At 55.2% G+C, this 14844-nt stretch overlaps 1 protein-coding gene and 1 non-coding gene across 13 annotated transcripts in view, besides 2 other annotated features; both read left to right on the top strand.

The window, feature by feature from the left end:
• RANGAP1 (Ran GTPase activating protein 1) overlaps positions 1 to 12879 on the top strand; it is a 57591-nt gene extending 44712 nt beyond the window's left edge. For 11 of the 12 annotated variants that reach the window (NM_001317930.2, XM_006724289.5, NM_002883.4 and 8 more), the window contains 9 exons: positions 834 to 947; positions 1368 to 1467; positions 1553 to 1637; positions 3164 to 3350; positions 4667 to 4786; positions 6549 to 6651; positions 7841 to 7929; positions 8207 to 8328; positions 10986 to 12879. In NM_001317930.2, the coding sequence (NP_001304859.1) occupies positions 834 to 947; positions 1368 to 1467; positions 1553 to 1637; positions 3164 to 3350; positions 4667 to 4786; positions 6549 to 6651; positions 7841 to 7929; positions 8207 to 8328; positions 10986 to 11055 (990 nt within the window). In that variant the 3' untranslated portion in view covers positions 11056 to 12879. Of the gene's footprint in view, positions 1 to 833; positions 948 to 1367; positions 1468 to 1552; positions 1638 to 2991; positions 3351 to 4666; positions 4787 to 6548; positions 6652 to 7840; positions 7930 to 8206; positions 8329 to 10985 lie in introns of those variants that run through there. The other variant, XM_011530297.2, reaches the window with a different exon arrangement.
• Positions 194 to 737: an enhancer, noted in NCBI's record as "H3K4me1 hESC enhancer chr22:41652925-41653468 (GRCh37/hg19 assembly coordinates)". NCBI's record gives its function as "activates a minimal SCP1, AML or CMV promoter by ChIP-STARR-seq in naive H9 embryonic stem cells {active_cell/tissue: H9 hESC(naive)}" and the evidence as "EXISTENCE:reporter gene assay evidence [ECO:0000049][PMID:30033119]".
• Positions 738 to 1281: an enhancer, noted in NCBI's record as "H3K4me1 hESC enhancer chr22:41652381-41652924 (GRCh37/hg19 assembly coordinates)". NCBI's record gives its function as "activates a minimal SCP1, AML or CMV promoter by ChIP-STARR-seq in naive H9 embryonic stem cells {active_cell/tissue: H9 hESC(naive)}" and the evidence as "EXISTENCE:reporter gene assay evidence [ECO:0000049][PMID:30033119]".
• Positions 4608 to 4666, top strand: MIR6889 (microRNA 6889). The gene has a single exon (NR_106949.1). It is a non-coding gene; the product is annotated as a microRNA 6889 (primary transcript).
• Positions 12880 to 14844: the final 1965 nt, after the last annotated feature.

Here is a 14844-nt window from a genome sequence, read left to right as displayed (position 1 = left end):
ACTGCTCCCCACATCTGTTTTCCTGGTTGATTTGTTCAGCAGCTGTTGTTTGTTTTGTTATTTATTATCACTTTTTGAGACGGAATCTTACTGTTGCCCAAGCTGGTCTTGAACTTCTGGGATCAAGTGATCCTCCCACCTCAGCCTTCTGAGTAGCTGGGATTACAGGTGCAGGCCACTGTGCCTGGCCCAGCAGCTGTTTTTTGAGTCCCCATTTAGTGCTTGGCTTTGTACCAAGTGCAGGCCACATGGGGTTGAGCCAAAGACCCCGCCTTCAGGGAGACCCTAGCTCAAGGAGGGAAGGAAGCTGCCAGTGGTAACAGTGCTGGGCTCTGAACGCAGTGGCTTCTTGGCTGCCAGGGTCCCGTGGCCCCACAGAAGGCTAGTCCGGCTGCCTGTGTGTTAGCAGAGATGTGTGCAGGTGTTGGGGAACACGCCAGAAGGAAGTTCAAATCAGACTTAGGGCAGGCTTCCTGGAAGAGATCACATTTTGGCTAAGTTGTATAGGGCAAGTGGTCTTTCTCTGGACAGAGGGTGGGGGATGGGTGTTTCAGGCAGAGGGATCAGCTTACGTGTGGAAGACCCGGATGCTCAGCAGGAACCTTGCTTGGTTGGTCTCAGGAAGAGTTCTGGCCGTAACATGGGGAGGGGTGGAGGAGGTTTGGCCAGGGGCCCAGAGGCCAACAAGTAGAAGACGGCAAAGCTGGTGACTTGCAGAGGAGGACAGTGTGTGGTGGCTGGCTTGGGATGTGACCGTGTGGGGCCCCCGGGGCTTGCTGAGGGCTGGGGTGTGGTCTGCACCCTCACTCTGGACCCTTGCTTCCCCCTCACAGACCTTGAAGACCTTGCGGCAGGTGGAGGTGATTAATTTTGGGGACTGCCTGGTGCGCTCCAAGGGTGCAGTTGCCATTGCAGATGCCATCCGCGGCGGCCTGCCCAAGCTAAAGGTGCCAGCCTGGACGCCTGACGTCCTCCCTCTGGGGTCTGTGGGTGGTGGGGCGGCTGGGGGCACAGGGGTCTGGTCTGAAGGCAGGTGGGCCTGTGTCCATATCCCAGCTCCTCCACTTCGGGCCCTGTGATGCTGTGTGAGCCTCCACACCCCTCTGAGCCATGGTTTCTTCATTTCTAAAGCGGGAGGCAGGGAGTGGTGTACATCACTGTCTTGTGATTTAAGTAAACACAGTACGTGACTCATCGTTGGCTGCAGGGCATTATTTTTGTTGTTGGTGTTATTCTTCCTGCCCACTTTGCCCCACCTGGAGGACAGAGCCTGCCATATCCTCACTTGGGGAAACTGAGGCTTAGAGTAGAACCTGGTGTCCTGGCCCGGGTTTCTGCCTGCCTCCAACCCTTCCTCTTATTTTCAGGAGCTGAACTTGTCATTCTGTGAAATCAAGAGGGATGCTGCCCTGGCTGTTGCTGAGGCCATGGCAGACAAAGCTGAGCTGGAGAAGCTGGACCTGAATGGTAGTCGGATGGGGGAGGCCTCTGCACAGGTCTGCTAGGCTGGCCCTGGCACCCCGGCTGACTGCTCTTCCCTCCCCTTGAGCAGGCAACACCCTGGGAGAAGAAGGCTGTGAACAGCTTCAGGAGGTGCTGGAGGGCTTCAACATGGCCAAGGTGCTGGCGTCCCTCAGGTAGGGAACTCGGGGTGGCCCCAGAGGTCGGGGTCAGGCCATTCCTTTCTTTCTTTCTTTTGTTCTTGAGATGGAGTCTTGCTCTGTTCCCCAGGCTAAAGTACAGTGGCGTGATCTCGGCTCACTGCAGCTTCCACCTCCTGGGTTCAAGTGATTCCCCTGCCTCAGCCTCCCAAGTAGCTGGGATTACAGGCACCCACCACCACACCTGGCCCCTTTATTTGTTTCTACTTGTATTTATTCAGAAACGTTGGGTGCACTCCTGTTACGTACTAGGTCATACACTAGGCATCAGGGCTATAAGGATGGGACAGTCAGGGCTTCTGTCTCGTGGGGTGGAGACAGAATGAGTTGTCCGTTCAACAGAGGAGCTCGTACGGGCTGAGCGGGGCCACCCTGTAGAGTGGTGGAGTTGGGGAGGCCTCTGAAGGGGTGAGGCCAGATCTCATCCTGATGTGGTGGGGCCTGGGGAGTGATGGGGGTGGGAGGTGGGGGCAGCCAGAAGGGGCTGCACTCGGGATTGTTCTTAAGACGCTGACTCTAGAAAGGAAGAGACCATGGGGCCTGGGGAGTCTACCTGGAGGTGAAGGTGGGTGGCCGGGGAGTGGCCATCTCCTGGATCCAAGTCCGGTTGGGCCATCAGCATCGGGCTCCCTGTGCCCCTCGCATCTCCAAGTCGGCCTCATTCGTGTGTCAGATACTCAGTCGTGTCTCCTCGGTGCTAGGCCCTGAGCTGAGGCTAGGAACTGGGGACTCCGAGGTGGGCTGAACCTCACAGGTCCCACTGTCCCTGGGAAATGGTCCAGCCTTCCTATGGGGCAAGGACACCCCTACTCTTCTTCCTCCCCCACACCTGTAGCTTCCTGAGGTCATGTGGATGTGGGCGCCCCTGCCCTGGCATCTCAACCTGGGCAGTGTTCCTGCCAAGCCCTGGGCTCTAGGTGTGACAAAGCTGTCTTCGTTTTCTGTCTCTCCATGAAACCTGGGGCTCCTTGAGGACAGGGACAAGATCTGATTTTTTTTTGTTTTTTTTTTTTGTTTTTTTGTGGGGGATGGAGTCTCGCTCTGTTGCCCAGGCTAGAGTGCAGTGGCACAATTTCGGCTCACTGCCAGCTCCGCCTCCAGGGTTCACGCCATTCTCCTGCCTCAGCCTCCTGAGTAGCTGGGACCACAGGCGCCCGCCACCACACCCGGCTAATTTTTTGTATTTTTAGTAGAGACGGGGTTTCACCACGTTAGCCAGGATGGTCTCGATCTCCTGACCTCATGATCCACCCACCTCGGCCTCCCAAAGTGCTGGGATTACAGGCATGAGCCACCGCGCCGGGCCGATCTTATTTTTTTGTGTCCACAGCATGGATTTCCCTGGTGATCCACCTGCCCCTGCCCTGGGAGCAGGTGCTCCCACCCCACCAGGCTCTCTCCCTCCTGGCTGAGGTGAGGTCTCTGGGCTCATGGAGCCAGGCCTTAGAGCCAACCTGGGCTGCTGGGTAGAGAGGATCTGCTTCAGCCAGCTCTTTCTGCAGTGATGACGAGGACGAGGAGGAGGAGGAGGAAGGAGAAGAGGAAGAAGAGGAAGCAGAAGAAGAGGAGGAGGAAGATGAGGAAGAGGAGGAAGAAGAGGAGGAGGAGGAGGAAGAAGAGCCTCAGCAGCGAGGGCAGGGAGAGAAGTCAGCCACGCCCTCACGGAAGATTCTGGACCCTAACACTGGGGTGAGTTTCTATCATCTGCCACAATCAGAGCCCTGGTCCTGAGAACGTGAAATCCCGAGGCACTTTCACAATGGGGTAGGGGGTGTCTCCTTAAGCACAGTAGCCACAAACATTTTTTTTTGATTGCATGATATTGAGTAAAAAAAGGAAAATGGTCCCAGTGTAATGATAGTTACCTATATTTCTTTTTTTTTTTTTTGAGATGGAGTCTCACTCTTGTCACCCAGGCTGGAGTGCAGTGGTGTGATCTCGGCTCACTGCAACCTCTGCCTCCCGGGTTCAAGTGATTCTTATGCCTCAGCCTCCCAAACAGCTGGGATTACAGATGCTTGCCACCACGCCTGGCTAATTTTTGTATCTTTAGTAGAGCCGGGGTTTCGCCATATTGGCCAGGCTGGTCTTGAACTTCTGACCTCAGGTGATCCACCCTCCTCGACCTCCCAAAGTGCTGGGATTACAGGCATTGAGCCACCGGGCCCAGCCATAGTTACCTATATTTCTATTTACCCCAATATAAATGTCTATTTACAGGTAGCAGTGCTGCTGCATTATGTATATTATAAGATATGCATAAGGGTTTCTGAAAGAATAAACAAATAAGCATAAATAGAAATTCTGATTTTTTTTTTCCCCACCCACCAGAGGATTGTCTTGGTGACCCTTAGGAACCACTCCCCCATTCCTGGGATGGTGGCTGGGCCATGACCTGGCTTGGGCACTTGGTGTCCCTTGTCTGGCCCGGGGCTGCATCAGGGCTGCCACACCTCCAGTTCATTCATTTGCATTCCCTGTCAGGTTCCTAAGTAAAGCTCCTGGAGAACTTGGCTCTGGACAAGGACTCCCCATGCTTACGCTGAATTGGGCTGCTTCTCTGGTTTATGGAATCAATTAAACAAATGGCTAGGTTCGCCTCAATTCAGTTTTTCCTCTGGGCACCTCTGGTGCTAGCAGGGCTTACCCAGGCTGGACTGTAGTTCTACGGGGACCCACTTTAGCCCCCATGTGCCTCCGTAGTCATTTCTGGGGCACTGCATGTCATGACGAGGATCCACTTGGCCGTAGCAGGTTTTTTGAGTCCCAGGGAGGTAGCTTCCCCCTCACCCCAAAGGCTCCTGGACCAAGAGCCATCCAGGGCCAGCATCTCTGGGTGATATTGATAGATGGGAAATGCAGCTGAGTGGGAGGAAGAATTCTAGACTTTGAGCCTAGATGGGCTGGAGTGAAGGGTGGATGTGCTGGGTGTGGGGATGGGCACAGCTGTGTCGGGGAGTCTGGGGTCCGGAATTCTCCAGAGCCTCTGTGCCCCTACTTCCCAGGAGCCAGCTCCCGTGCTGTCCTCCCCACCTCCTGCAGACGTCTCCACCTTCCTGGCTTTTCCCTCTCCAGAGAAGCTGCTGCGCCTAGGGCCCAAGAGCTCCGTGCTGATAGCCCAGCAGGTAATAACCACCCCTCGACCCCCACGCTGTACGTGCTGTGGCTTCTGGAGCTGTTAGAGAAAAGGGACGAACAGCTCAGAGACCTGGGGGTGCGACGCTGTCAGCTGGGGGCAGGGAGGCTTGGCCTGCCACTGTTACAACACGCGCAAATGTCCAGGGTATTTATAAGCCTCCAGGGGTTGCAAATGTTCCCTCCCCACTCAGCCTACAGAAAGTACAGCCCGCCAGTTCCCATGCTGACTGGGGTTAGGGAATTTCCTTAAGAGCCTTGCATGTGCCCACCCCCTCCTTGGCTTCTCTCTGCGTGTTCCGTCAGCCCAGCTGCTTCGAGAACAACTCTGTTGCCCAGGGCTCCTTTGGAAGTGACGTGCCTATTGCAGGATGGGTGCCCTCACTCCAGCCTCACTTGTTGGTTGGCTCATTCATTCATTCATAGATGATCTTCGGGGCATCCATTTTCTGCCAGGCACTGCATTTGGGCATGATTTTATTTAACCCTCTTGGCAACATGAAATGTAGACTCTGCTGCCCTTACTTTATTTTATTATTTATTTATTTATTTATTTTTTTGAGATGGAGTCTCACTCTGTCGCCCAGGCTGGAGTGCAGTGGCACGATCTCGGCTCACTGCAGACTCTGCCTCCTGGGTTCAAGCAATTCTCCTGCCTCAGCCTCCCGCGCCCAGCTAATTTTTGTATTTTTTAGTAGAGACGAGGTTTCACCACGTTGGCCAGGCTGGTCTCAAACTCCTGACCTCATGATCCACCCACCTCGGCCTCCCAAAGTGCTAGGGTTACAGGCATGAGCCACCGTGCCCGGCCAGCCCTTATTTTGTAGATAAGAAAGCGGAGGCTCGGAGGTTACAGAGAAATAAAATGGGCCCACTCTCAGAGTTGGCTTAACATTTCGGCCAATTGCTTTGTTAGGTTTTGCCTGTATTCTTTGTTTCTTTTAACATGATAAATCAGATGTTGTAAGCCTTTCTGTGGCCTATCACTTTGGTGTAGCACCATTCATCACTTTCTTGTGCCCATAAAACTCTTCTCAGGATTTTTATTGCAATGTGTGGATGTAGCACTTAAAAGCCAGGCACTGTTTCTGACGTTTTTTCCACTTTTCCCTGTTGTGAGGTTGAGGTAAACGTTTCTGCATGTGAGTATTGTCTACATGCTAGATTATTTCTTCAAGTTCAATTACAAGATGGGGACCACTGGATCCCTGAAATGATTTTTTTTTTTTTTTTTCTGAGACAATGTTTTGCTTTGTGACTCCGGCTGGAGTGCAGTGGTGCAATCATGGCTCAGTGCAACCTCGACCTCCTGGGCTCAAGCAGTCCTCCTGCCTCAGCCTCCCAAGTAGCTGAGACTATAGGCACACACCACCAACCTTGGCTAATTTTTTTCCTTTTTGTTGACATGGGGTCTTGCTATGTTGCCTAGGCTGGTCTCAGACTTTTCGCCTCAAGCCATCCTCCCACCTCAGCCTCCCAAAGTGCTGGGGTTACAGGCATGAGCCGCCACACCCGGCTGGGATGATTTTTCATCCTTGTTCATTCACTCATTCATTCCCTCTCTATGCTGCATATGTGCTTGCTGCAGGCCAAATCCAAGCCAGACTCTGAAGGGACAGCATGGGGTAAGGCAGGACCTGTTCTTGCCCGCCAGGGGCCTTTGTACTGCCCAGGCCTCTCCTAGCTAGCGTCAGAGCCCAGGTACCTCTCCACCACGTGCCACAGGCCAACCATTGTCTCTTTTGTCCTCAGACTGACACGTCTGACCCCGAGAAGGTGGTCTCTGCCTTCCTAAAGGTGTCATCTGTGTTCAAGGACGAAGCTACTGTGAGGATGGCAGTGCAGGATGCAGTAGGTAATGTGGGCTGGGTGAGACCTGGGTGCCCTCTGTCCCTTGATGCTCGTGGGCCCCAGGTATCCTTCGTGGTTGCCGTAACTCGTCAGCCCCAGCGCTCTCATGGGAACTGCTCTTTGGCCACCTGAGTTTTTCCTCCGTCAGGGTCCTGCCGTGGAGCCAGCTGGCTGCTCTTCTCCCTGTTTTTCACCACTGAGAAACTGAGGCCTTTCCCAAATCCACACAGCCATGTACAGTTAGAACCCATAGCCCGCTCTAGGAAGTCCAGATAGTCACATCTGCAAGCCCAATGGACGCAGGTCTATCGGGAGGAGGGATGGTGAGAGCCAAGCCCTTGTCCACACCTTGGAGCTTCTGTGCTCACGTCCACTCTACCTGGAGGTTCCTTGCACAGAGGACACCTTTCCCCATAACATTATGGGGGCTTCCTTGGAGCACCAGCCCATATCCCTCCAGCCCTATCACAACCCTCTCCCCACCCTGTCTGTTTCCTCCATTCCAGCACCTGTCACCTTCCACCCTGTTTCCATGTGCTTGACTGAGCCTCCACATCTAACGAAACCTGAGCCAGTTCCGGTTAGGCAGAGGGGAGGAAGGGCCCTGAGGCGAGGGGGACGGTTCCTGGAAAAGATAGAAAGGGGTGGAAGGACATGTGGTGCCTCTTCCCGGCGTGGCGTCGAAGCGGGGAGGGCGGCTCAGTGGGAAATGAGGCTCGGAAGGAGGTGGGGGCCAGACACAAGCCTGCTCCCTGAGGGCCCGCCTGTGGGCATTTTTGGGAACAAGTTGCCCTAGTTCTGTTTCCCAGGAAGCCTAGCACAGTCCCTGCACATCCCCTCACCCTGCCAAAATAACCTGAATCCTCCCCAGTGGTAGCCTGCCTCAGGAAATCTCCATTCCCACGGTGTGAGGTGGGCACAGTGGGTGTCATCCCCATGCCCATTTTATACCTGAGGCCAGGATGGGCAAGGGCCAGAGTGTCACAGCTGGCAGATGGACTGAGCCCATCCCCTGATGCCAACTGCCACTCCCTCTGGTTCCTGTGTCTCTGCCGTCCCTCTCGTGTTCGCCTCTTCGTCAGGGCGAGGAGGCAGGCGAGCCTGTGTCTGCGCGGTGTTGGGGGAACCCTGGGTGCCTTGGCCCAGCCCTCTGCCATAGCCAGCAGCCTGCCCCTGCTGCTTCTGCCCTACAGATGCCCTGATGCAGAAGGCTTTCAACTCCTCGTCCTTCAACTCCAACACCTTCCTCACCAGGCTGCTCGTGCACATGGGTCTGCTCAAGGTGAGGCCGGAAGGAACAGCAGGCCCGGGAGGGAGGTGGGTGGGGTCTGCACAGAAGCTGCCCCAGCCATGCCCGCCAACCTCCCTCACCTCGAGTCCTGAGCCGGCTCGCCCACGGGGCCCCGAGGCCTGGGTCTGCCCCAGCAGCCTTGGTCTTCACGATGAGATTCCGGCTAGACTCAGTTGTGGGCACTATCAGCAGAGTCTGGATGGTGGAGTCCAGGGGCCCCCCCAGGTGACTTTGAAGCTCACCCCGCTTTTCGCTGTGTTCCTCTCAGAGTGAAGACAAGGTCAAGGCCATTGCCAACCTGTACGGCCCCCTGATGGCGCTGAACCACATGGTGCAGCAGGACTATTTCCCCAAGGCCCTTGCACCCCTGCTGCTGGCGTTCGTGACCAAGTGAGTGTGGCCTTGTCCTTCTGCCGGTGCCTGCCCTCTCGGGCTTCTCTGGCCAGGTCTGAAGGCGCCCGGTTCCGGGAGGCCCAGCCCCAGCCCAGCCAGCCTGCTGGCCCCACTCAGGTGCATGAGAGGCCCTCATGCCTCCTGGGCTCTCAGCATCTGCATTGGAGTCTCACCACCCTTGGGAGGCCCACTCCCCTCTGCCCAGCTGAGGACAGTGGGGCTCAGGGACAGTGAGAGAGGAGACATGCGGCGCCCCCATTGTGCAGATGAGGAGCACTGGGTTGGTTAAGGAGTTTCCCTTGGTCACACGCTAGCAAGAGGCTGGGCCAGTGTCCAGACCCATGTCTGCTGAGCGAGGTGCTGCGGTTGGTGACATCTCCGGAGTGGCTTTTTGTCCACATTCACAGCAGCGCAGGCCAAAGGGGCCTGGTCACACCAGGCTCTGCAGCCCCGGGCCCTCTCCTGGGGACACACATTGCCACGGGAGCTGCCAAATGCCCAGCAATGTGTGAACCTTGGCCTTGTTCTGGAGGGTCCTGGGGTGTCCCGGGGCATTGATGGGGTGATGGGCACAGTCAAGTAAGAGAGGCAAGGCCCCACCAGGGAGGGGTCGGGAGGCTTGCCCTCTGAAGGCCCTGTGTGGCCCCTGGCCAACCTGTGGCCTTCATCAGGCCTCAGTCTCCCCATTTGTCCAACCGGGGGGTTAGGTGAGATTGTCTCCAAGCGCCCTGACCAGCCACACTTCCAGTCAGTCGGCGCCATCCGGGGACATGGGGCAGGCAGAGGAGCAAGGAAGTCCCTTTGCTGGGGGAGCCCAGAGCCCACCAGCTGAGGCAGGATACTTGGTGCATGTGGGGAGGCGGGGCTGGCGGAGCGTGAGCGGCCCCCGCTGGCCTCCAGCACCCAGCTGGTGCCGCGGCAGCCCTGTCCACTCCAGTGTCTGCATGGCGCCGCCTCCTTAGCCAGGCCTTACCTTCTGGCCGCATTTCCCCCACACCAGACCACCCCTTGGGCTGCAGCTGGACTGGCCTTGGTGAATGGCAGATCTCACTGTTCCCCTCCTCTGCCAGGTGCTAGGTAGAGCCTCACTGTGAATCTCATGGCTGGCCACAGCCTCACCCCGACCCCACCCCACCCCACCCCAGCACAGTGTGCTCTCCCTGAGCCCCTTTCCATAGCAGTGCTGTTGCTGCAGTGCCGAGCTTTGCCCATGCTGTCCAGAGCTTGTTTGGCCAGTGGCCCCAGCCCCCGTCTGCGCCTGAGCCCTTTGTGTCCTTCCTGCCCCCTGGTCAGAGTAGTTCCCTCTGTATCCCTGGCAGCCCCTGTGCTATCCTAAGCCTGGGCATGTGCCTCTTGCCCTTGTTGGTCAGAGCAAAATGCCTTTTCCCAGCTTGTTGCCCAACCTCCAGCACAGGCCTCAGTCTGCCCCCTGGGTCTTGTCCAAGGTGACTGATTAACTATGTAGTGACATGCACGGACCCTCTTCCCTCAGCTCCCAGCCAAATGGTCTGGGATGCCCGGCCTGGCGCAGATCCTGGCCTGTTCACTGGCTTCAGGCCAGAGGTGTTGTCAGGCCTGGTCCTGGCTGCGTCCCGCACTTGCCCAGTCCCCCAGAGTCTTGCCTCAGTTTCTTCCTTTGCAGTGAAACTAATGATATTGAGGGCAACAACAGCCAGCTCAGGCGCAGTGGCTCCCATCTGTAATCCCAGCACTTTGGGAAGCTGAGGCAACTGGATCACTTGAGCCCGGGAGTTCAAGGCCAGCCTGGGCAACATTCGTGAAACCCCATCTCTACAAAAAATACAAAGTTAGCCGGGTGTGGTGGTGTGTACCTGTGGTCCCAGCTACTTGGGAGGATGAGGTAGGAGGACCACCTGAGCCTGGGAAGTCGAGGATGCAGGGAGCCATGATTCCAGGACTGTACTCCAGCCTGGGCAACAAAGAGAGGCCCTGTCTCAAGAAAAAAACAACCAGCCTGGCGCGGTGGCTCACGCCTATAATCCCAGCACTTTGGGAGGCCGAGGTGGGAGGATCACGAGGTCAGGAGATCAAGACCATCCTGGCTAACATGGTGAAACCCTGTCTCTACTAAAAATACAAAAAATTAGCTGGGCATGGTGGTGGGCGTCTGTAGTCCCAGCTACTCGGGAGGCTGAGGCAGGAGAATGGCGTGAACTCGGGAGGCGGAGCTTGCAGTGAGCCGAGATCGCACCACTGCACTCCAGCCTGGGTGACAGAGCGAGACTCCGTCTCAAAAAAAAAAGAAAAAGAAAAAGAAAAAAAGCAACCAAAAAAACAATGGCTAGCCATTTACTTATGATCCAGATTGGACTCTAGTGGGCCAGTCCTATGTGGCCACTGGCAGCCAGTAAGGATTCCCTGGCCTATGTCTGCTGGAAGGGCCCTTGGAGAGCCTGGCTGAGGGGGCCTTCATTCTGGCCAGCTCTGGGCTGTGTGGCGTTGGGTGCCTGGCTCTCTGAGCCTCTCGCACCTCCCATCCCCACCCACGGTGTGCAGAAGGCAGAGGGCTAATGTCTCTCTTGCTGAGTCGTTGTGCAAATTAACAAAAATGAGTCTGGCACCAAAATGGCCCCCACACTTGGAAAACAGGCCAAGAGGCATCCACCGACCTGCTGACCCCTCTTTCCCCGCAGGCCCAACAGCGCCCTGGAATCCTGCTCCTTCGCCCGCCACAGTCTGCTGCAGACGCTGTACAAGGTCTAGACTCAAAGCCTCTCCCATCCCTTGGCCTGGACCAGTGAGCTGGGGAGGGACTCGGATGAACTGAGGCGCAGCCTACGCCATTGCCTTGGACAGGACTCTGGCCACAGGCAGGGCGGGTCTGTGTCCCATGTGTCCTGTCAGTCCCCTGAGTATGTGTGTGGGTGTGGCGCATGTGCAGGTCTGTGCCTCCTGTCGGGATTTGGGTTTTAACGTCTTCTGCTGGCCCAGCCCTGCTCTGTTGTGGGGAGTTGGCCCCCAGGGGAAAGGGCTGTGAGCTGCTCCGCCATTAAACTCACCTCCACCTGAGGGCGCTCTGCTGATCTCCGCCTGGGCCCTGATGGCCGTCCCCACCCACCTGCCTTCCGGCCCGGCTCCCTGGCGGAGCCAGAACCCAGGGAGTTGCCCGCGTGCTGTCCTTCCCCTCTGTGTTGTGATTGGGTTGTTTCCTGCCCTGCCTGGGGCTGCTTCTCGTCACCAAGCCCTGGTCCTGCGGCAGCTGTCACCCCTACCATCCATACCACTGTGCTGACCGCTCAGCCTGAAGAGCAGAGAATGCCATGGGTGGGACTGTGGGGGTCGGATCGTGGGGTTGTTGGCAGAGGGCAACCCTGGGCCCCACACCGTGTGGACAGGCAGACACCAGATTGTCCAGGAGCAGGAGCTGCTGGGACTGCGCTGGCCCCGGACCTAGTGGGCCTTCTCCTGGCTGCTGAGATGTCGTCTGTGACTGGCCTGGCTGGAGGGGGAGTGTTGACAACCCAAAGCTGTTCTCCAGTCTGGGGAGGGAGAGGCAGGGTCCCCAATGTCCGAGCTGCATCTGGACGCTGCTCTTAAAGGACCTCCTGGGGCAGGGGAGCGGTAGGGTCTGGACTGGGCAGATGCTGTATGACCTCCCTGAGCACCCGTGACTGCCCCATGCTTTCCCCTTTGTGCTCTGTGTGTGTCTGGGCTGTGCCCGGGGGCTTCACAAATAAAGTCGTGTGGCAGCTTCAGAGACTCAGAAACTCTCACTGAAAGCGGGATAGTCTCGGGGGCCGTTGTACGTGGAGTCCCACCTCGGCAGAGCATGCGGCCCCGCAGCAGTCTGTGGGGCAGTCAGCCCTGCAGAAGGGCCCGGCCTCGGCCTCAGGCCACTACCTGGGAAGTGGCAGTCCTGAGTGGGGGCCCATTTTCCTGCCTGGCCACACCTCACCCAGCACCCTGCCTTTGGGCTGCAGCTCGCTTGGCTTCTGCGTTGCTCCTTCACTATGGAAGCCACCTCCCTTGGGATCCTTTGCTCCACTGCCACATATGTGAGGACAGCCCAGCCAACCTTCCTTACCTCCTACCCTACACCATGTATGTGCTTTGGGAGCCCATGTCCCCCACAAACGGCCTCCAAGAAGTCCCTCCAAGGTTTCTTAGAGGGCAATATTTTCTCATTGGCAGTCGGCCACGTAGGTGACCAGGTGGCAGAGGATACTGCTGGCCCTGTCCCCTGTCTTCTGTGTGAGTTGATACGGTAGGGGGTGGGTGTGGGGCTGGCATTAAGTTCTGATGCCAGCTACAACGTGGATGAACTTTGAAAACATGTTAAATGAAATAAGCCAGACACAAAAGGACAAATATGATTCCATTTAGATGAGGCATCTAGAATAAGCAAATTCAGAGACAAGAAGGTAGAGGTTGCCAGGGCTAGGGGAAGGGTGGAATAGGGAGTGAGGCTGCAAACAGATTCTCTGGGATGATGAAGATGTTCTGGAAATGGAGAGTGGTGATGGTTGCATAACATTGTGAATGTACTTAATGCACTGAATTGTACACATAAAAATGGTTAAAATGATAGATTTCATGTATTAATATATTTTACCTCAGTTAATGTTTTAAAAATTAAGCAAAACTATAGAGCTTCACCCGGGTGTGGTGGCTCACGCCTGTAGTAATCCTAGCACTTTGGGAGGACGAGGCGGGCAGATCACTTGAGCCCAGGAATTCAAGACTGGCCTGGCCAACATGGCAAAACCCTGTCTCTACTAAAAATACAAAAATGAGCTGGGTGTGGTGATGCATGCCTGTAGTCTCAGCTACTTGGGAACCTGAGGTGGGAGGATCACCTGAGCCCAAGAAGTGGATGCTGCAGCAAGCCGTGATCGTGCCACTGCACTCCAGCATGACTGACAGCGAGACCCTGTCTCAAAAAAGAGAGAGAGAGCTTGTAGGAGATAGTGTAAGTGAGTATCTTCAAGGCCTTAGGAGTGAGGAAAAGATGAATAAATTAAGCTGTATTTAACCTCCTTTGCCATTATCGTGGGATGTTCACACAATGGAAATGATGTAGCAGTGAGAACAGGTTTCTGTTTATCAAAATACTCATTAAGGAGTACAAAGGCAACTTACAGACAGGGAGAAAATAATTGCCTAAACTCTCTCTGTATATATATATGGGTGGGGGGGATAACTTTAATTTTTTTCAAACAGGGTCTCATGTTGCCCAGCTTCTATCTCGGCTCACTGCAGCCTCTACCCCCCGGGCTCAGGTGATCCTCCCAGAGAAACATAATCACAGTGTGACACTCTTATGCCCTCACTAGAATGGCTAAAATACAAAATACAGTACCAAGTTTGGTGAGGATTTGGGGCAACTGGAGTGGCTGGCAGATGTGTAAATTGGTACAACCTTTTTTTTTTTTTTTTTTTTTTTTGAGACAGGGTCTTGCCATGTCACCCAGGCTGGGGTGCAGTGGTGTGATCACAGCTCACTGCAGCCTCGACCTCCTGGGCTCACTTAGTCTTCGTGCCTCAGCCTCCCAAGTAGCTGGGACCATGTCACAAGCCACCACGTTCAGCTTTTTTTTGTAAAGACAGGGTCTCATTGTGTTGTCCAGGCTGGTCTTGAATTATTGGGCTCAAGTGATCCTCCCGCCTCAGCTCACTTAACAGGCATGAACCACCATGCCCGGCTACAGTGCTCTTTCTAATAAACCCATGCTGGAAACAACCCAAATGTCTATCACTAGAGGAATGGGTAAGCTACTTGTGGTACGGTGTGGTACCGAGAAGGTAGGAATGGTCTGCCCAAGAAGAAATATTTTAGCATTGACATTGTTTAGACTTGTCAGCACATGATAATAAAAAGCAGAGACCAACTTTAAGTCAGTTCCATTGTGTCTCACTTCTCCACTGACAGCACACCCGCTTACTGCCTGCATTGTGGGCAGACTGCCTCCCGCCCCTGCCCCATGCCACTGTTGTCATATATTTATAGAATGGAAGGCTGGAATGCTGAATTTAAAAAAAAAATTAAAATAGATGAAGCCGGGTGCGGGCTCACACCTGTAAATCCTAGGACTTTGGGAGGTTGAGGCGGGCGGATCACTTGAGGTCAGGAGTTTGTGACCTGCCTGGCCAATATGGTGAGACCCGTCTCTACTAAAAATACAAAAATTAGCTGGGTGTGGTGGCGGGTGCCTGTAATCCCAGCTACTCGGGAAGCTGAAGCAGAATTCCTTGAACCTGGGAGGCGGAGGTTGCAGTGAGCTGAGATCACGCCACTGTACTCTAGCCTGGGCAACGAGAGCTAGACTCCGTCTCAAAAAAAAAATAAAAAGATGATTCTCACTAACATAATATTGAGTGGAAAACGCCAGACACAGCCAGGTGCAGTGGCTCATGCCTGTAATCCTAACGCTTTGGGAGGCCGAGGTGGGAGGATCACTTGTGCCCCGGAGTTCAAGACCAGCCTGGACAACATAGCAAGACCCCAACTCTACAACAAATTTTAAAACCAGCTGGAGGTGGCGGTGCATATCT

This window comes from Homo sapiens, chromosome 22 (assembly GCF_000001405.40).
Source record: "Homo sapiens chromosome 22, GRCh38.p14 Primary Assembly".
Classification (NCBI taxonomy): Eukaryota; Metazoa; Chordata; class Mammalia; order Primates; family Hominidae; genus Homo; species Homo sapiens.
Note: the sequence above shows the minus strand (reverse complement) of the source record. Positions and strands in the feature narration are given on the sequence as shown.